At 40.7% G+C, this 21542-nt stretch overlaps 1 protein-coding gene and 1 pseudogene across 1 annotated transcript in view; one reads left to right on the top strand and one right to left on the bottom strand.

Moving 5' to 3' along the window:
• The window catches only part of SGK1 (serum/glucocorticoid regulated kinase 1), a 148857-nt gene that overhangs the window by 50614 nt on the left and 76701 nt on the right, over positions 1–21542 (top strand). Inside the window, exon 2 of the mRNA NM_001143676.3 lies at positions 5351–5566. Coding sequence (NP_001137148.1) covers positions 5351–5566 — 216 coding nt within the window. The remainder of the gene's footprint in view (positions 1–5350; positions 5567–21542) is intronic.
• On the bottom strand, positions 10356–10464 carry RNA5SP218 (RNA, 5S ribosomal pseudogene 218; annotated as a pseudogene).

Below are 21542 nucleotides of genomic sequence, written 5' to 3'. Positions count from 1 at the left end.
CAACATAATGAGACACCGTCTCTCCAAAAAATAAATAGCCGAACGTGGTGGCGCGCATCTGTAGTCCCAGGTAACTGGGAGGCTGAGGCGAGAGGATAGCTTGAGCCTAGGAGCTCTTGGTTGAAGTGAGCTATGATCGTGCCACAGCCCTCCAACAAAGGGAATAGAGTGAGACTGTATCTCTGTAAAAAAAACCAACCAAACAAACAGAAAAGTCACTATGAACATATTCAGACTGTAACATATTAAAAAAAAGAAAAAGAAAATATAAAAATAAAAAACAAAAAGAAATAAAAATAACATGAAAAAAGAATATTTAAAAAAAATTTTATTTTGTTGGCCATAACTCAAGCTCTAGAGTGCGGGTGTTCAGGGAGTCAGGGGAGATATACATTTCAAGATACAAAGATTCTTAGTCCAGGCATACAACTTACAAATATATTTGAATAGATTTATCATCTGTTTAAATCCTGTTCACAGTAACCCTAAAGTTAAATCTACTTGGCAAAAGAGACATTGAAAGTAAGCCAGAGTAAAAAGATTGATTTTAAACTACAACGTTGGAGACAAAGCAAGAACAGTTACCAGACTTCAAGCCCAAAACTATCTGAATAAGAATAATAAAAAACATTATCCATCTCTAATGAAATTGAACACTTTTTAGACTGATCAAAAACACATTTAGTACTAACATTAAGAAGATACATTCTATTGGAGTCTCAAACTTTTAAAGTTTCATTTAGACTTCCATTAATGAATCAGCGAAACATTCTTAATATACCTACTAACATGCTTAAGGGGCCCTATAGTGACAGAAATATTTAAGGAAACCCAAAATTTTAACTTTAGGATAGTAAACTCAAAAAGATATTTTATTTTTTTTGAGACAGAGTCTCCTTCTTTCACCCAGGCTGGAATGCAGTGCCATGATCTCAGGCTCACTGCAACCTCTGCCTCCGAGGTTCAAGCCGTTCTTCTGCTTCAGCCTCTGGAGCAGCTGGGGTTACGGGTGTGCACCACCACGCCCAGCTAATTTTTGTATTTTTAGGAGAGTCAGGGTTTCACCATGTTGGTCAGGCTGGTCTTGAACTCCTGAGATCAGGTGATCCACACGCCTCAGCCTCCCAAACCCAAAGTGCTGGGATTACAGGTGTGAGCCACCACAACCGGCCTCACAAAGATATTTTAAATGGCTATTGAAAAGAGTACATATAGGCCAGGTGCAGTTGCTCACGCCTGTATTACCAGCCCTTTGGGAGGCTGAGGTGGGTGGATCACCCGAGATCAGGAGTTCAAGACCGGCCTGGCCAACATAGCAAAACCCCGTCTCTACTAAAAATACAAAAATTAGCTGGGCGTGGGGGCACGGTGCCTGTAATTCCAGCCACTCAGGAGGCTGAGGGAGGAGAATCACTTGAACCAGGGAGGAGGAGGCTGCAGTGAGCTGAGATCGCGCCACTGCACTCCAGCCTGGGTGACAATCAGAGACTCCATCTTAATAAATATAAATAAATGAATAAAGAAATAAATAAATAAAGCAATTAAAAGACACTTGTGGCTGGATGTGGTAGCTCACGCCTGTAATCCCAGCATTTTGGGAGGCTGAGCTGGGAGGGGAACACTTGAGCCCAGGAGTTCTAACCAGCTTGGCTTGACCAACATGGTGAGACTCTATTTTTTAAAGAAATGTATATATATATATACATTTATGATTCTGATAAAATATTATTCTTTTAAAAGTTAAAGTACGAAGAGTTGTAAAAACAGATAAAACACCCATGATACTAACAATAAACACAGCAGTTTCTATTTTGCCTCTTAACTCTCCTACTTTATGTCTATAGTGTTTCTGTGTATATATATATGTATATATATATATGTATATATATAAAATATATATGTATATGTATATATGTATATGTATAAATATATATGTATATATATAAAATATATATGTGTATATAAAATATATATGTATATATAAAATATATATGTGTATATATATATTTTTTTTGTTTGTTTGTTTGTTTGTTTTTTGAGACAGAGTTTTCACTCTTGTTGCCCAGGCTGGAGTGCAATGGCATGATCTTGGTTCACCACAACCTCCACCTCCAGGGGTCAAGCGATTCTCCTGCCTCAGCCTCCTGAGTAGCTGGGATTACAGGTGCCCAACACTACACCCAGCTAATTTTTGTGTTTTTTGTAGAGATGGGGTTTTGTCATGTTGACCAGGCTGGTCTTGAACTCCTGGGCTCAGGTGATCTGCCTGCCTCGACCTCCCAAAGTGCTGGGATTACAGGCGTGAGCCACTGCACCCGGCCTATAGTTAGTACATATGTTTTTACATTTGTGATTATAGCAATTAAACAGTTTTGTATTTGGCTTTTCTCATATAATTATGTTCTAAATATTTTTCATATTTTCACAGTCTTCATAATACTTAATTTTAGTGATAGCAAAATATTCTATCAAGTAATATAATAAATTGCTTAAACATTATTGCTATTGCAATTTTAGTTTATCCTCAGTGTTTTTTAAAAAGTTAATTGCAGGCTGGGCATGGTGGCTCACACTTGTAATCCCAACACTTTGGGAAGCCAAAGTGGGAGGATCGCCTAAGGCCAGGAGTTTAAGACCAGTCTGGGCAATATAGCAAGACCCTGTCTCTACAAAACAATTTAAAAATAATTAGCCAGTCATGGTGGTGCACGCCTGTAGTCCCAGCTACTTGGGAGGGCTGAGGTGGGAGGATCGCTTGAGCCTAGGAGGTTAAGGCTGCAGTGAGCTGTCATCGTGCCAATGCACTCCAATCTGGGGAACAAAACAAGACCCTTTAACAACAACAACAACAAAAATAATAATAATAATAATTGTAGCATCACTAACTAAAATTCAGTACTGTGATTTTACTTCTTTGTCCTTTTGCTATAGGCTAATTTCACTAATTGGTTGAATATAAAAGAATCCTCAGGAGTTTTGAAGAGCATGAAAGTGAAATAGTAAATCAAAATAAATTTCAAGCACCAGTGACCATAAGTCTTAACAACACTTCAGTGCTTCTTAGAAAATTGCATGCTCATGGCCAGGCGCAGTGGCTCAAGCCTGTAATACCAGCACTATGGGAGGCCAAGGTGGGCGGATCATGAGGTCAGGAGATCGAGACCATCCTGGCTAACACGATGAAACCCGGTCTCTACTAAAAATACAAAAAATTAGCCAGGCATGGTGGCAGGTGCCTGTAGTCCCAGCTACTCGGGAGGCTGAGGCAGGAGAATGGCGTGAACCCAGGAGGCAGAGCTTGCAGTGAGCTGAGATCGCGCCACTGTACTCCAGCCAGGGGCAACAGAGCGAGACTCTGTCTCAAAAAAAAAAAAAAAGAAAGAAAAGAAAATTGCATGTTTATAAACTCTGGATTCAAGGTGCCTGGATCCCGCCTTTACTCCATAACAACACTGTGCCCTGGGGAAATTTGCTTCACATCTCTATGCGTTTGTTTTTCCATCTGTATAATGGGATTGAAAATAGTACCTTTCTTATAAAACTTTTCTGAGGACTAATTAATTAATTTTTTATTCTTCATTTACTTATTTATTTTCTTTTGTAGAGATGGGGTTTTGCTATGTTGGCTAGGCTGGTCCCAAAATCCTGGCCTCAAGTGACCTGCCTGCCTTAGCCTCCCAAAGTTTAAAGTGCTGGGATTACAGGTGTGAGCCACCTCACCCTGCCTGTTCTGAGGATTAAAAACTATACACATCAAACACTTTAAAAAGTGCCTTGATTTTTGAAATGCTGTATAAATACCATGCCTGTTAATATTAGAATAGCTTTATACTTCTTTCTGTATCTTATAGGGATTTTACAAGCAAGCAAGACAAGTGGTGAGTTTTAGAACTTTAAAAACAAACTTGAGCTAATTTCTTAGCCAGAAGCAATTTCTTTTATAATCAAAGTTGTGCAGTAGTATATATGGGCCGGATTCAGTGGCTCATGCCTGTAATCCCAACACTTTGGGAGGCGGGAGGATCACTTGAGCCCAGGAGTTTGATACCAGCCTGCGCAACTTAGTGAGACCTCATCTCTACAAAAAAAAAAAAAAATTAGTAGTGTGATGGTGCGAGCCTGTGGTCTCAGCTACTCCAGAGGCTGAGGTGAGAGGATTGCTTGAGCCCAGCAGTTCAAGACTGCAGTGAGCCATGATTAGGCCACTGCATTCCATCCTGGGTGACAGAGGAAGATCCTGTCTCAATAACAATAATAATAGTGAATATGTATTTGCTTAGCAATGGATTAGATTGTAAACTATGAGATTAGTATTTTCCCTTGTAAGAATAACTAGTAATTCACCTTAGAAATGTGTGAACTAAATTTCTGTCATCATAATCATAATAATAAGGGTCAAAGTAAAATAGTCACTATCTATTGGGCACCAAACATGTGCCAGGCAAAGTACTTGAACATTGTAAAACATGGTAGCATTTTCACAGCTTGGGAGGAAATATTATTACCTGAATCTTACAAATGAGGAGACAGGCTGGGCACAGTGACTTATACCTGTGATCCCAACACTTTAAGAGGCAAAAGGATCTTTTTCTTTAAAAAAAAAAAAAAGTTATTTTTTTCGTAGAGACAAAGTTTCGCTATTTTGCCCAGGCTGGTCTCAAACTCCTGGGCTAAAGCAGTCCTCCTGCCTTGGCCTCCCAAAGTGCTATTTAGATATAAACCATCTCGCCTGGCCAGGGTAATTGTTTTTGTTTGTTTTTGGGTTTTGAGGGTTTGTTGTTGTTGTGTTGTTGTTGTGGTTGGAGACAGTCTTGCTCTGTCACCCAGGCTGGAGTGCAGCGGGGCTATCTCAGCTCACTGCAACCTCCGCTTCCCAGGTTCAAGCGATTCTCCCAAGCAGCTGAGATTATAGGCGTGTACCACCAGGCCTGGCTAATTTTGGTATTTTTAGTAGAGATGGGGTTTCATCATGTTGGCAGGCTGGTCCAGGAGGATCTTTTAACACCAAGACCAGCCTGGGCAACAGAGTGAAACCCCCCTATCTCTAAAAAGAAAAAAATTCTAACCCCACTGGAAGCAGGAGGAAAAAGAAAAGAAAAAAATAATGTGAAAAAAAAATGCGGAGACAGACTCAGCAAGATGAAATGACCAGCCATGTAATGCATACTCTAGGAAAGAGACTGAACAGCATTGACCAATTCGAATTGTGTTGAGTTTGAAAGATAGACAGGTTGTGAGACCGAGTTCTCCTTTCATGAGCTCCCATCCCACCAGATTTCCCACCAAATCCCCAATAAACATCAAAGGGAGTCAAACACATTTGTTTTTTCTTTCCTTTTGCACATTGCAGGTACGAAGGTGGATCAAGAGCCCAATGGTCAGTGTGGACAAGCATCAGAGTCCCAGCCTGAAGTACACCGGCTCCTCCATGGTGCACATCCCTCCAGGGGAGCCAGACTTCGAGTCTTCCTTGTGTCAAACATGCCTGGGTGAACATGCTTTCCAAAGAGGGGTTCTCCCTCAGGAGAACGAGTCATGTTCATGGGAAACTCAATCTGGGTGTGAAGTAAGTTCATGTTCGCTCTGGATCTATTCTCCTGGAAAAATTCTGGGCCTTTGTTTTTCTTGTATTTCTGCCAGAGTATACCCAAAAAATAATTTTTTAATGCATATTTATAAAGCTTCTGAGGAAGACCTAGAATTGTGGTCTTTGTTAGCTCATTATGTTATTTTTTTAAAGTAGGCTTTATATTTTAGAGCAGCTTTAAGTTCACAGCAACATTGAGCAGAAGGTACAGAGATTACCCATATACGCTTGTCCCCATGCACGTATAACCTACTTTGCCATCAACATTCCCTAGCAGAGTTTTATGTTAGAGTTCACTCTTGGTGTTATACATTCTATGGGTTTGGACTAATGTATAATAACATGCATCCACCATTACAGTATCATACAGTTAAGTTTCACTGCCCTAAAAATCCTCTGCCCTCCACTATTCATCCCCTCCTTACCCTGACCCCTAGCAACCACTGATCTTTTTACTGTCTCCATAGATTTGCCTTTTCCAGAATGTCATCTAGCTGAATCATGCAGTATGTTGTATTAATGTTTTACGTGGGTCCAAGACTGATACAGCAATGTGTTGGTAAACTGGCAATTCCTCAGAAGTGGTTTGATCACACAGGAGATCAAGTCTTAGATGATACAACGATTGTAATAGTCATCTACATGTTCGTAGCTTCCATTGAAATATTTAGTTCAACACGATTTGATCCATTTACAGAGCACTATGTATACTTTTCATTATTTTTCTCAAGCTCATATATACTCACATTTTTACTAAGACTTATTTTCCCTGCTACTCCAAGAGTTGTTTTTTAAAAATTTTGTTAATCCAAGAAAACCAGATAACTGATTCATCTTGCAGTTTCTAAGATTTCAAAAATTTAAGATTATATTTTTAACTTATAACTTAATTAGGCCCATATTTATTTTGATTTTTAAAACCATTATATAAAATGCTTATATTATTTTTACCATCATACTGACATAAAAATACAATATTTAGAAGACAGAACATGTTATTACAAAGTACAGTTAATTGTAAGTGATCTTCCAAGTCAGTGCATCATAGAATGATAAACGTTAATAACCGCTCACCTTTTTTATTTTTAGCAAGGTAACCATTTTCCAGAGATAAAATAATCATTTAGCTGCTAAAAGACTGAAGACATTAAATCTGAGTTCCTTTTCACTCTGAGTTATCACGCAATGTCGCTGAATCTGTTTCATAATTTGTCTACTTTCTTTCTTTCTTTTTTTTTTTTTTTTGAGTTTCACTCTTGTTGCCCAGACTGGAGTGCAATGGCACGATCTCGGCTCACTGCAACCTCCGCTTCCTGAGTTCAAGTAATTCTTCTGCCTCAGTCTCCCGAGTAGCTGGGATTACAGGCACCCAACACCACGCCTGGCTAATTTTTGTATTTTTAATAGAAACAGGGTTTCTCTATGTTGGTCAGGCTGGTGTCAAACTCCCAACCTCAGGTAATCCACCTGCGTCGGCTTTCCAAATTGCTGGGATTACAGGCATGAGCCACTACGCCGGCCCTTTTTTTGGGGGGGGTGGGGGTCGGGGACAGGGAGACAGGGGGACAGAGTCTTGCTCTGTAACCCTGACTTGAGTGCAGTAGTGCAATCATAACTCACTGTTACCTCAAACTCCTAGGTTCAAGTGATCCTCCCACCTCAACCCTCCCAAGTAAATAAGACCACAGGCATACGCCAACAAACCTGGCTAATTAAAAAAAAAAAATTTTTTTTGTAGAAACAGGGTGTTGTCATACTGACCAGGCTGGTCTTGAACTCCTGGCTTCAAGTGATCCTCCCAAAATGCTGGGATTATAGGTATGAGGCACAATGCCCAGCCTACTTGTCTACTTTCTACGGTTATTGGAAAAATCAAATGAGATTGATATGAAATGTTTCATAATCTATAGAATGCCATGCAAATATAAATCATTATTGCTCATGTTTGCTGATTTACATATTAGCTAAGCCTGTGACTCTGTAACACTATATTAGACTTCCATAACTGGGTTAGCACTTTGCTGATCCATGAACATTTGTCATGGTGCATTTGCTTTTTAGCCAGATGTTGGTTCAACTCTAGGTTTGTCATGAAAAACAATAAAGACGCTAAATGCAAGAGCATCTATTTATCGCTCCTGATGCAAGGGATAGAGTCAACTTTTTATCTAAACGGCCAGATAGTAAATATTTTAGCCTTTGCCTAAAATACAGTCTCTAACTTCTATTTAGCTCTGCCCTTCTAGGGAAAGCAGCCATAGATAATATGTAAATGAATGGACACAGCTCTCCCAGGTTGGAGTGCAGTGACGAGATCTCAGCTCACTGCAACCTCCACCTCCCAGGTTCAAGCAATTCTCCTGCCTCAGCCTCCTGAGTAGCCGGGATTACAGGCATCTGACACCACACCCGGGTAATTTTTTTTTTTTTTTTTAGTAGAGATGGGGTTTCACCATGTTGGCCAGGCTGGTCTTGAACTCCGGACCTCAAGTGATCTGCCTGCCTCAGCCTCCCAAAATGCTGGTATTACAGGCCTGAGCCACTGCGCCCAGCCTGAGTTTGCCAATTTCTTAGACTCTAAAGAACTATTTATGACTTAGAAGCAGAGAGAGGGTTCTACATATCCTATACAGAGCACACATGCCTAGTGCTAAATGTTTACTTGAGGGCCTACTCTATGTCCCATTTGATAGGAGCTGGGTTTAAATCAATGCAACAGTGAAATTCCACACAAAAGGAAACAATAAACAAAGCTGAAAGGAATTTAAAGCAACATTGTGATTTACCCTTTTCCTTTATCTTAGATAGCAGGTAAATCATTCTCCAATTTGCAATCGATTACCTGGTTCCCAGACTTTGCTGGCTTTTTCCTAAGGTTATCACAAATCAAAATGACACATACTTTATTTTATTACTTTTTTTTTGAGACAAGGTTTTGCTCTACTGCCCAGGCTAGAGTGTAGTGGTGCAATCATGGCTCACTGCAGCCTCGACCTCCAGGGCTCAAGCAGTGGTCCCACCTCAGCCTCCCAAGTAGCTGGGACTACACGCCCCATGCACCACTATGCCCAGCTAATTTTATTTTATTTTATTTTATTTTTTGTGGAGACAGGTTGGTATCAAACTTCTGGGTTCAAGAGATCTGCCCCCGCTTGGGTGTTCGGATTACAGGCCTAAGCCTTTTTATTTATTTTATTTTATTTTTGAGATGGAGTCTCGCCCTGTCACCCAGGCTGGAAAGCGCAGTGGCGCGATCTCGGCTTACTAGAATCTCTGCCTCCCAGGTTCAAGTGATTCTCCTGCCTCAGCCTCCTAAGTAGCTGGGATTACAGGCACCCGCCACCACGCCTGGCGAATTTTTGTGTTTTTAGTAGAGACAGAGTTTCACCATGTTGGCAAGGCTATTCTCAAACTCCTGACCTCAGGTGATTCGCCTGCCTCGGCCTCCCAAAGTGCTGGCATTACAGGTGTGAGCCACCATGCCAGGTGGGTTTTTTTTATTATTATTATTTTAATCGTTAAAATATGCATCAGCAGGGCACAGTGGCTCATGCCTGTAACCCCAGGGAAGCCAAGGGGGGTGGATGGCTTGAGCCCAGGAGTTTGAGACCAACTCGTCTCTACAAATAAATAAAATAAAATTAGCTGAGCATGGTGGTGGATTCCTGTGTTCCTAGCCACTTGGGAGGCTGAGGTAGGAGCATTGCTTGAGCCCAGGAATGAGGAGGGTGCAGTGAACCAAGATGGCACCACAGCACTCCAGCCTGGGTAACAGAGCCAGACCCTGTCTCAAAAAAAAAAAAAATCTATATTTTGTGTTTTTATAGGGATGAAATTATGAAATGATGAAATAAATCATTGAAAAGGCAACTCTGTCCTTTTAGAAAGTGAAGTTGCAAGGTGAGAAGGTGGAGAGGCTGTGAGATGCAGAAGCCGGTAGTAAAGACCCCAGGTTGTTCTCCTGACATCTCCCGATGCAGATTATTTTAGGCAAATCATTAATTCATTTGTCCTGCTCAGTGTTCTCTCCTATAAAAATTGAGGTAATATGTACTCACCGTCAGGTTTCTTTCCAGTAGTTTTGTAGTAGTTAGTAGATGAGATTGTATTTTAAAAACTCTTTTGTAAACGTAAATTGATGTGCATGTGCTGGAGTCAGGTGACCCATATTCTTGTGCCAGCTCTGCCACAGGTCAATGGAGGAATTCAGGCAAGCCACAAAACCTCTCAAACATCATATGATAGGCCTCAGCTAGTTAACCCTGAATCCCTTTTTCGTCTGAGATCCTATGCTTGGCATTTAATGACCTATAAGTGAAAATAAACAAGAAAAAAAGGGAGGTAAAAGGAAAAGTACAATAAAATTAAACTCTGTATTCTATATGTAAAGATAAAATATAGAAAACGAGGTAAGAATGTTTTAAATAAAATAAGAAGGCAAATTAAGTGCAAGTCTTTTATGAACTAATTGTGGGTTTTTTGTTTTGTTTTGTTTGTTGGGTTTTTTTGAGATGAAGTTTAGCTGTTGTTGCCCAGGCTGGGGTGCAATGGCACGATCTCAGCTCACAGTAACCCCTGCCTCCTGGGTTCAAGTGATTCTCCTGCCTCAGCCTTGCGAATAGCTGGCATTACAGGCATGCGCCACCATGCCTGGACAGGGTTTCTCCATGTTGGTCAGGCTGGTCTTGAACTCCCAACCTCAGGTGATCTGCCTGCCTCGGCCTCCCAAAGTGCGGGGATTACAGGCATGAGCCACCACGCCCAGCGAAGCCTACAGCACCTGGTATTCCCAAACAGTCTCCCATCCAAGTACCAGCCAGGTCCGATCCTGCTTAGCTTCTGAGATCAGGCGTGTTCAGGGTGGTATGGCCGTAGACACGGGCTGTGGGTTGCTTTGTTGTTGTTGTTGTTTTGTTCAACTTTAAAACTAGCACATTATAAATGCTATGTTTAATGGTCACAAATTGCTAAGAGTTACATTGCACTTAGTTTGTACCAGGCCTTGCCAATAGCCCAGTTAGTGGCCTTGAAACATGTTTTACCCATGGAAGAAACAAGGGTATTCATAATGCCAATGAATCACCCAGAAGAACAGCAATATTGTGATATCCCGAGGAGTGCTGTCTGAAATGGACTGCTTATAAATTAAACAAATCTTCCTGGGAATGAGGTGGGAAAGATGATAACTTAGAGCTGTGTAAGCTGTTACTAAATAATGCATGCTACTGGAACACATGTTGTAGTATTCAGCCTGAAACTAACTTATAGGCCACAAAGAGATGGAGACCAAAAGTAGTTTTTCGAGAGGTGTATGCTGACTAAACGTATTCACAAACTCTACTCTGTATTGTATCTCCCACGGCACCTTTAGTATCTAGATCAACCAAGCTGGAAGGAAAGGAAAGTTTTGAAGTGGAGGTGGAGAAGGAAATCTGGTGTTAAGGAAAACATAGGATCGTATCAAGATGGCAGCCTGACCATGTAATGTCATCTCTACTTTCTGCCTTAAATGACACACACACACATACACACACACACACAGACACACACACACTTTAGCTTATAATTGTGCTAGAAGACAAAGTATACCATTGTGTAGATAAGGGATAATTAAGTATCTCTGAAAAAGAGAAGGCAGGTAGGATGATAAGTTTGATGTGGAAACCATAGTCCAAAATGATCACAGCAAAAGCTGGGGACATTGTAAACTATGTTTGTAAAAGGATCTGGCAATTTGGAAAATAATAATGTTCCAGATAAAGTCTAATACAAGGAAAGTAGTTTTAGCAATATAAATATCGACAAAATACAAAAAAAAAAAAAGGAAAAAGGACCAAAGAGGAATATTTCATGTTGAAGAAAAATATCTACCAAGAAGATAAAACATTCACAAATCTTCATGCACTTAACATAACATGGAAATATTTAAAGAAATAACTAACAAATAGAAAGAAAAATGGGCAAATTCTGTCAGAGAGGGACATTTTTCTCATACTTCCTAGTAATAGCCAACTCAAGAAGACTGAAGGCAGGGCACAGTGGCTCACGCCTGTAATCCCAGCACTTTTGGAGGTCGAGGAGGGCAGATCACCTGAGGTCAGGAGTTCAAGACCAGCCCGGTCAACATGGTGAAACCCTGTCTCTACTAAAAATACAAAAATTAGCCAGGTGTGGTGGCGGGCGCCTGTAATCCCAGCTACTTGGAAGACTGAGGCAGGAGAATCGCTTGAACCTGGGAGGTGGTGGAGGTTGTAGTGACCCAGGATCATGCCATTGTACTCCAGCCTAGGTGACAAGAGCGAGGCTCCATCTCAAAAAAAAAAAAAAAAAAAAAAAATCAAAATCTCTTGCCTTTGTTTGTTTTTGAGACAGAGTCTCACTCTGTCACCCAGGCTAGAGTGCAGTGACGTGATGTTGGCTCACTGCAACTTGAACTCCTGGCCTCAAGTGATCCACCCACCTCAGCCTCCCAAAGTGCTGGGATTATAGGCATGAACCACTGAGCCCAGCTGGGAATCTCTTACCTTTTAATTTAGCAAATCCATGTCTCCACATCTACCCCAGATAATTACTTGCTTATGTGATAACTGAGATAGGTACAGTAATATCCATTGCAATGTTGGAAATGGTGAAAAAATGGAAACATCAGGAGATAACAAAATTATAAACTTGTAGAGCATTATTAATTATGACATATCCATACCATAGAACACTATACAGTGATTAAAAACAAAGAGATTTGTAGCCGGGCACGGTGGCTCACGCCTGTAATCCCAGCACTTTGGGAGGCCGAGGCAGGTGGATCACCTAAGGTCAGAGTTTGAGACCAGCCTGGCCAACATGGTGAAACCCTGTCTCTACTAAAAATACAAAAAATTAGCCAGGCGTGGTGGCGCATGCCTGCAATCTCAGCTACTCGGGAGGTTGAGGCTGGAGAATTGCTTGAACCCGGGAGGCGGAGGTTGCAGTGAGCCGAGATGGCGCCACTGCACTCTAACCTGGGCAACAAGAGCAAAACTCTGTCTCAAAAAAGAAAAAAAAAATGAGATTTGTATATATTGACATATCCCATGGTATATTATGCTAGAAAAGCAAGTTGAAGATGAACATGTATATACCATTATCACATTTTTTAAACTTTGTATTTCTTTCTTCTTGTCTGTATATATGTGTGTTTATCTATGAGTGTGAGTATATATGTGTGGGTAAATGTAAATTAAAAGACGTGGAAGTATGTATATCAAATGACAATGGTGATTACCACCTTCCAGGGATTAGAACTGGCCAGTGATTAGGTGGAGGAGATGAGTCAAGGAGGACATTAGCTTTCTTTATATCGTTTAAATGTTTCAATCCCATATTAATCTATTACTTGTGCGTTTGGGGAAAACACCATACTCACCAGGAGCCTCACTCGTAGAAAGTGAACAGGTACAACTCCACCCTATTGATAGGAAGCCAGGCAGCATCACAAATATGATTTTGCACCATGAGACCATTCCATTGCTACAAATAAAGGCACTTGGAGGAAAATGGAAAACACAATATTTATGCTCCCACAGCACTTTGTACTTCTGCCTGTCAATCAGTTTGCTCTGCCCTGTGTGATATGTGTGTGCGTGTCCATGTATTCTCTAAGCTCCTTGCAGTTGTGAATCGAATGTGTTCATTTTCTTATCTCCTCCCGGGACCTTGCATACATGTGCTAAAGTTAGTGTGCTCTTTTTTCTTTTTGCCTTTATTAGCTAAAATTGATACTTTGTTGATGCATTTTTTTTTTTTTGAAAAAAAAAAAAAGGAGAGACTAGGACAGAAAAGGAGAGACTAGGACAGAAAACTCTGTAGCCCATGCTGGCTGTAAATCACGCACATTCCAGAGGCGCTGCATGCCAGGGACTGATTCTCATTAAGTTTGCCCTCTCATATGGGATACATTTGGCTGAGCAAGGATTTCCTCAGAGTCCGCTGTCCGTCTTTCAATTGAAGGCAGCTTGAAAGGTGCTTAGTCAGCGACCAAATGCTGAAGCCAAGGCACTGTGTGCTGTTTTAAAGGCCTAGTGAAGCCAGAGTCCTCTGGAAGGATCCATGCGATTTGAAGTTATTAGCCACGGTGCTGCAAACAGAAGAATTAACACTGAGTTGTTGACATAATTAAATATAAGGTTACTGCCTCTTCTTCCTCCTTTACAAAGGAGGAAGACAATAAATTACAAAGACAATAATAGAGGGGCACTGTAGAAAAAAATTTTTTATTTTTTTGAGACAAGGTCTCACTCTGTTGCCCAGGCTGGAGTGCAGTGGCACAATCAGGGCTCACTGCAGCCTCGATTTCCTGGGCTCAAGCAATCCTCAGCCCTCCAAGTAGCTGGGACTACAGGCTTTCACCACCATGCCCAGCTAATTGTTTTTTTTCTTTTTTAAATTTTAGTAGAGACAAGGTCTCGCTGTTGCTCAGTCTGGTTTCGAACTCCTGAGCTCAGCTGGGCGCGGTGGCTCATGTCTGTAATCCCAGCTCTCAGGGAGGCAAGAGGCGAGACGATAGCTTGAGCCCAGGAGTTCGAGACCTGCCTGGGCAATATAGCGAGACCCCGTTCTCCACAAAAAGAAAAAAAAAAAAAGAAAAACAAAAGACGAACTCCTGAGCTCAAGTGATGCTCTGCTTCAGCCTAGAAAGCACTTTTAATTAAGCTGGCTTCATACAATTCTGGGATGGATTCTGACCCATGTCTCTTGTTCAGCATTTCAAATGTCTTACTCCATCTGTTAGGCTCAAGAAGGTGTGTTGTTACTTTTATATTTCTTCTCAAAATTGTTGAGCTGTCCCTTTGAAGCCCAGAAGGCTTGGAAGTAAAATGATCAGCTAGGAATAGTTTCCATACTGACATACTTTTATATTGTCTTGAGTTTTTCTGATCTTTCTTAAAAAGATGCTATAAAAAATATACTTAAATCAGCCAGATGGCTTTATAGATTTCTGGTTTCTTTTAATTTATATCAAAAAAAATTTTATATAGGCTTATGGGGATTAAAATAACAGTACTTCAAATTGCTCATTTCTCCCAGTTTTTTGCTCTTGGCATGATGTATTATGGTCTCTGGAGAGAGGTGTCTGGTGATTCCTAAGCTTATCACCCACAATAGTCCTTATTTTTCACTAAATTTTCAACCATGTTATCCTTGAGAAAGCACGTAAAACAAATGATCAGACTAAATAAACTTAGATGAATTATTTCTATGTAGATTTAAATTACCTTACAATCCTGTCTGCGGCTTTTTTTTTTTTTTTTTTTTTTTTGAGGTGGAATCTCACTCTGTTGCCCAGGCTGGAGAGCAGTGGCGCAATCAATTTTTTTTTAAATCTGAGTCTCGGTTGTTAAATTTACAAAAATGAACCAGATTTGTTTCTTGTGCTAACAGAGAGAGAATGTCTACGTTAGCTGAAAGCTAAAATCAGCACACTCTCCCAAAAAGATCCTGATCAAGCCCTTGTTCCCAAGAGAAGAATTTCATGTGAAAGAGTTCGATTATAACTGGCTTACTGTCTGTGCAACGCGCACATTGTGTGAGCAGCCAGAGAGCCTGATAACCAGGAAGCTAAATCCTTCTCCTCCAGGAGTACTTCCATGTTTCCAATCCTGTTTCCTGGGGCTCCTAGAGCCAGGAGGTCACCCCTGTTCGAGTCACTGCTGACCTCTCTTCCAGGGGTGAGGATCAAGAATCTAAAGATTTATATCTCAGGATTTAGAGTGTGGAAAGAGATAGCATGGACTCCCTTTCTCTTCTCTAAGAATCAACCAAACAATAGCTTTACCTATCACGAAGTACATAGTTCTGCTGTATTTAGAAACATAATTTAGCTGGGCATGGTGGCTCACGCCTGTTATCGCAACACTTTGGGAGACAGAGGTGGGAGGATCGCTTGAGCCCAGAAGTTCAAGACCAGCCTGGGTCACGTAGAAAGACTCCCATCACTACAGAAAATTTTAAAAATTAGCCAGGCGTGATGGCACCCACCTGTAGTCCCAGCTACTCGGGAGGCTGAGATGGAAGGATTGCTTGAGCCTGGGAGATTGAGGATGCAGTGAACAATGATTGCACCACTGCACTCCAGCCTGGGTGACAGAGTAAAACCTCATCTCTAAATAAATAAATTTTAAACAGAGAGACACAATTCAAGTCACAAAAATTAAGTTTCAGGGTCAGGACTTGTGGGTAAAGCAAGTTTCTGGCTGCACTCGTAGCTCACTTGATTTTTATTTCATAAGCTCTCCAGGGAATCATAGCCCACCAGTGTGCCGCGTTCCCAGTGATGAGTCTGGAAGGGAATAAGGGACTTCATCCAGGCTATTTAGGACATAAAATATTCTAGGAAAACTACTCCCTGTCCTCTCCTGGAAATCTCTAGCCAGCAGTTACACTTACCCTTGGGGTTGAGCATATTTTGTTGGCTTTTGTTGTATGTAACCAAATCTTTCCTGCTTCTAATTAAATTTATTCCTTTAGTAAAATCCTTCCCAGAAACCATATGGCTATTTTCCACTAAAATAATATCCTGTTTTAGTAGTTTTGAGACTTTTAAAATTTTAAAAGAAGACTTTGTATGAACTACTAAAAATCTATAAGCAGGAACAAAATTTAAGGGATAAGCAAAGTTTAACTGCATGCCAATTCATTTTTTTTGCAGTTATTTCTCTTTTTCCTCAAAGTTTATCATTATACATATATTTTTCTTGGGTTGTTAATTGAAATGATAGAATTTAATTTACCAAGTAACATCCCTGTAGTGAAAACTACTCTACAAAGAACAAATTAAACAAAAATATGAAGATTCTAAGGGCTGGGTGCAATGGCTCACACCTGTAATCCCAGAACTTTGGGAGCCCAAGGCAGGATGATTGCTTGAGCCCAGGAACCCAAAACTAGCCTGGGCAACATAGTGAGACCCTGTCTCTACAAAAAATACGATGAAATAAATTAGCCGTGTATAGTAGTGCACACCTATAGTCCCAGCTACCTGAGAGGCTGAGGCAGGACAGCTTGAGCCCAGGAGGTCAAGTCTGCAGTGAGCCATGATCTTGCCACTGCACTGCAGCCTGAACAACAGAGTGAGACCCTGTTTCAAACAAAAATGTTTAAGGGTTAAAAAAAATGGGGGAAAGATTTAGTGATAATTTCTTAAAACCATATAATTTAATCCTAAAGTTTACCTTTGGGGACCTGAAAAGACTCTTCTTACAAATCTTCTACAGAAAAGGGAAATACAAACCATTAATATCACCTTGATATTTCTTATTCACATATAGTAAATTGCTTCTGGTTCATTCTACTTACACAAAGAGCCTTGGATAAACACCTAAATGTGCTGAGACACACATTTGTCCATAGTGTTCAGGATAAATAAATCTTTCTATTTTTACTTGTCATTGATGTTAGATCCCCTTGTCTTTTTGACCTAGTAAATAAATCAAACTATTTTTAGGCAAGATTCAAGCAAAACTCAATTTGTGTGACATCATCTCTTGAAAAAATCATCACAATCAACTGAAATGCACTGGTATTATATAAGTGACTCAGCTCTGTTCCGTAAGAAAACCACGCTTTTCTTATCGACCTTGAGTAGCAGACAGTGATATAAGAGCATATTAAAATCCTCTTTAAGGTCAAGCCAAATTCCACAGCTTGCTATCTATCATTTTAGTTTGCTTTTCCAATGTTCATTGGCCTTGAGAGTTGTAAATACACAAGTCTGTCCTCGATTCACTTTTCTCTTTTACTCTAGTGAGTATTTCCTGTTGTTTTCCTTTTGACTTGATTTTAAAATGACCATTTCAGGGGATTCATCTAGATTTCTATGTGAGAAAAAAAATTCAGGAACTTGGCATCTCTGGCTGGGTTTGATGAGTAGCAGATAGGTAGCTCTCTAGTTAAGTAACGTGGGGAGCAGAGGTTATAGGTCTTTGTAGATTAGAAAACGTTAAATGCATTAACTTGGTGGTAACAAAAAAGAAAGAAAGAAATTGATGACCATTACGGTTCTCTTCTTGGCTTAGAATTGCATGTATCAGCAGCCCTGAGTTATTTTTAAAACAAGCAAATCTGACACCAGCATGAAAGCAGACCTTTCAGGTAGTGACCACCTATGTAACAGGGTTACGGATACCAGAATGCTGAATCCTCTCCCAGCACACAGCAAAGCCTTGGTTTATTCTCTCAGCTGGTGTTTATTGAGAGTTTCTATCATAAGCTTGGCAGTAAGCACCCTAGGCTGTGTTTCCAGGACAGGGGGAAAATCCAAGCAACCACGCAGTTACAACACACTGTGACAAGTGCTAGAAGAGGGGGAGATAGAGACTACACATAAGAGGGTTCCCATAGCTGACGATGTAGGGGCCAGTGAAGGCTTCTCAGCAGAAGAGAAATCTAAGCTAAGAAGTGAAGGATGAGTAAGTTAGTAAGGTAAGGAAGGGCGGGGAAGAGAAGCCCAGACAGATGGGACAAATAACCAAAGGCCTGGAGGCCTGGAATGACATGGTAAATTTGGAGCAAGGAAAATATAGCTCAACTGGGGAACAGAATTCGGGTTATTAAGGGTTTTCACAAGGCATTTAAAACAATTTCTATATATCATCTTCAGGAGATGAGGATCTGTTTCATGTTTCAATCACAAAAGTGGTATCAGTAGGAATAAAGAATAGACGAGAGAGAGTTGAATTCCAGAGATTTTTTCTGCAGGAGGTTTATGGTTTTGGATTAAGGTTTCTGACTTTGACCTTGTTAAGGATAAATATGCTTGAGATTTCGTACAATACGCTTGATTCTTCTTCTGCAAAAAAGACGAGGATTCCAGGTTTGGGAAAGCATAATATTAACTCAGGAGCTCTCATTACTGACATGAGAAAAATGATTAAAAAGAGGAGCCTGAAACCACGAACAATCTTGGTTATTTACCAAGTTTGTTCTTGTGGAGGAAAAAAATAAAATTAAGATTTGAGAGAACTGAAAAGCTTCAGAGAATAGTAGTTGAAGGGAGAGGGGGATAAAAAGAAAGGGAGAGGAAGCACTTTGGATGTGAGGCAATGGATTATAAACTGTAGTTCATTTTGTAGTTCATTTAACTTCAGAACTCTTAATCTCTTGATGAGGGAGAGCCTACCTGGATCAGAGTTAGGGAGTTCTCTATGTTGAGATTGGTTGTATATGAGGAGACAAAACCTGTAAATAAGGCCGAGGCAGGTAGTTTGAGACCAGCCTGGCCAACATGGTGAAACCCTGTCTCTACTAAAAATATAAAAACTATCTGGGCGTCGTGGCACATGACTGTAATCCCAGCTACTGGGGAGGCTGAGGCAGGAGAACCACTTGAACCCAGGAGGCCCAGGTTGCAGTGAGCTGGGATTTCACTACTGTACTCCAGCCTGGGCGACAGAGGGACTCTCCATCTAAAAAAAAAAAAAAAAAAAAAAAAAGGCGGAGGAGAGCAGGTGTTTCTAAGATGCTTCTGCATGTGTGTCATCTGTCTCTGTATGGGAAGATGACATTATTGACCTTGTATCAATGTTAACTGTGGTTTGAGCTACATTTTGCTAGCATTAAAGACTGGATTTGTACTGATCTGTTTGTACTCCCTTGCCTAATTTGGCTGAAGACTACTAATAGAACAGATTTTCAGTAAACTTGGGAAGTTAATCTAGCTGACCTTCCTTGGGCTTTAACAAGGGCCCTTTGCCTTTTGGCACATTGCTTTAATCAACTACACTAATCAGACCCAAGGCTCATGATACACACGAGGGAAAAAAATAGCTTATGTGAACAAGTGTTTTTTTCTGAGTGATTTTTAGCCACTGAAGAATGCAAAAGTTCCAATTTTCTTCATAATTGAAATCATAACAGCTGTGAGAACTTGGCCGTTTATCAAAGATGCAAGCAGAAGTCATAGGCTTTATTTCATGGATTAAATCTAAAAGCTGTATATATTTTCATGATGTTGCATAATGGATTGGTAATGGTTATTATGAATGATAATACTTATTTAGACAAGTCAGAGAGACCAAGTACAAAAGATGTTTAAAGCAAAAATGGCATAGACTGTTTTGCAAATGCACAGGCTGAAATTATCTATAATTTTAGTGAATGGCATAAATTGTATGACATAGAGTTGGCTCTGGCTTCCATTTTCATGGCAAGGCCAGCTTGTAAATCAGTGACAATGACTCATGGGTCTCAGGCATGGTACATCAATCTAGCACCTGCTTTCCCAATCGGTCGAGTTACATTCATATCCAAACACGAATAACCGTATTATTAACCTCAGCCACCAAAATTAATCTTTCAGTATTGAGAGGATGTGCAAGTTCAAACTCATAGGGTTTATTTCCTCCTTGTGACATATACTGTGCACTTAATTTGTAAAAACAGTGCTATTCCTTCCTGTTCAGCATCTCAGAAGTGGTGAATGCCATTTTGAGTTCTGTGTTTGTGGCTTTGTGGAGGGCCATATATAGGTAAATTTTACGGGAGGCCCCCACAGGTGTGACTTTGAACTGAGGCCATGTGACAAGCAGCAGCCTGCTACTCTAACCTCATCCTGGGGAAATCCAGGCTTCACAGTTGCTACACAGGATGTTTCATCAAAAGAGGGATTTTCCCCCTCTGCTCTGGAAGACTTTGTTTCCTTCCCCTTCCTCAACTTTACCAAAGTATTCTGAAAATAGTTAACAATTTTTCCTGTCTTGGGTGACTTTATTGGGGGTGGAATGGTGGTGGGGAAGGATAAGGAATGGGTTAAGGGGAAGTTGAGCACTGGGGCATAGAAGGGACAGTAAGAACAAGACCCGTCAATACTTTGTCAGCCCATCATGTCTCTGGGCATATTACTTGCTATTACCTAATATTAAAAAAAAAAATAAATCACTGGCCCTACTATGCATCAAGCATGGTTTTGGTGTTAGATCTTAGTTCAAAGTCCAGCTTTGACATTTGCCAGCTGTGTCTTTAAGTTTCCCATTTATAAAATGAATCATAATACGAACTTGGCCAGGCACAGTGGCTCCCAGCACTTAGGGAGTTGGAGGCGAGTGGGTCACCTGAGGTCAGGAGTTTGAGACCAGCCTAGCCAACATGGCGAAACCCTGTCTCTACTAAAAATACAAAAATTAGCTGGGTGTGGTGGCAGGCACCTGTAATCCCAGCTACTCAGGAGGCTGAGGCAGGAGAATTGCTTGAACCCGGTAGGTGGAGTTTGCAGTGAGCCGAGATCACACCACTGCACTCCAGCCTGGGGTATAGAGCAAGACTCTGTGTCAAATAAATAAATAAATACAAATACAAATACAAACTTAACAGGGTTGCTGAGAGGTTCAAGTGAGAGAATGTATGAACATTTACTTCGTTTATCTCTGCTTCTGTCCTCCCCCATCTTCACCCTTTTTTCCCAAGCCTAAAAGGAATCAAACAAGGGCCAGGTGTGGTGGTTCACACCTGTAATCCCAGCACTTTGGGAGGTTGAGGTGGGCAGATCACCTGAGGTCAGGAGTTCGAGACCAGCCCTAACAACATGGTGAAACCCCTTCTCTACTAAAAAAAAAAAAATACAAAAATTAGCCAGGCGGGGTGGCACATGCCTGTAATCCCAGCTACTTGGGAGGCTGCGGCAGGAGAATCACTTGAACCTGGGAGGCAGAGGTTGCAGTGAGCCGAGATAGTGCTATTGTACTCCAGCCTGGGCAACAAGAGTGAAACTCCATCTCAAAAAAAAAAGAAAAAAAAGAAAAGAAACAAGCCTCAACCATGAAGATCATATGATGATTCTGAACTATGTATAAGGTGTCCAATCTACTACTACCCTTTACGTGGTCATTTGTGTTCATTGGACACCATCACCAAACTTATTAATCCAAGCCTGTTCATTAAATATTTTTGTTCAGCAAAAAGAAGTAAAAAAGGAAGTAGAGATTTC

Source organism: Homo sapiens, chromosome 6 (assembly GCF_000001405.40).
Source record: "Homo sapiens chromosome 6, GRCh38.p14 Primary Assembly".
Taxonomy (NCBI): domain Eukaryota; kingdom Metazoa; phylum Chordata; class Mammalia; order Primates; family Hominidae; genus Homo; species Homo sapiens.
Note: the sequence above shows the minus strand (reverse complement) of the source record. Positions and strands in the feature narration are given on the sequence as shown.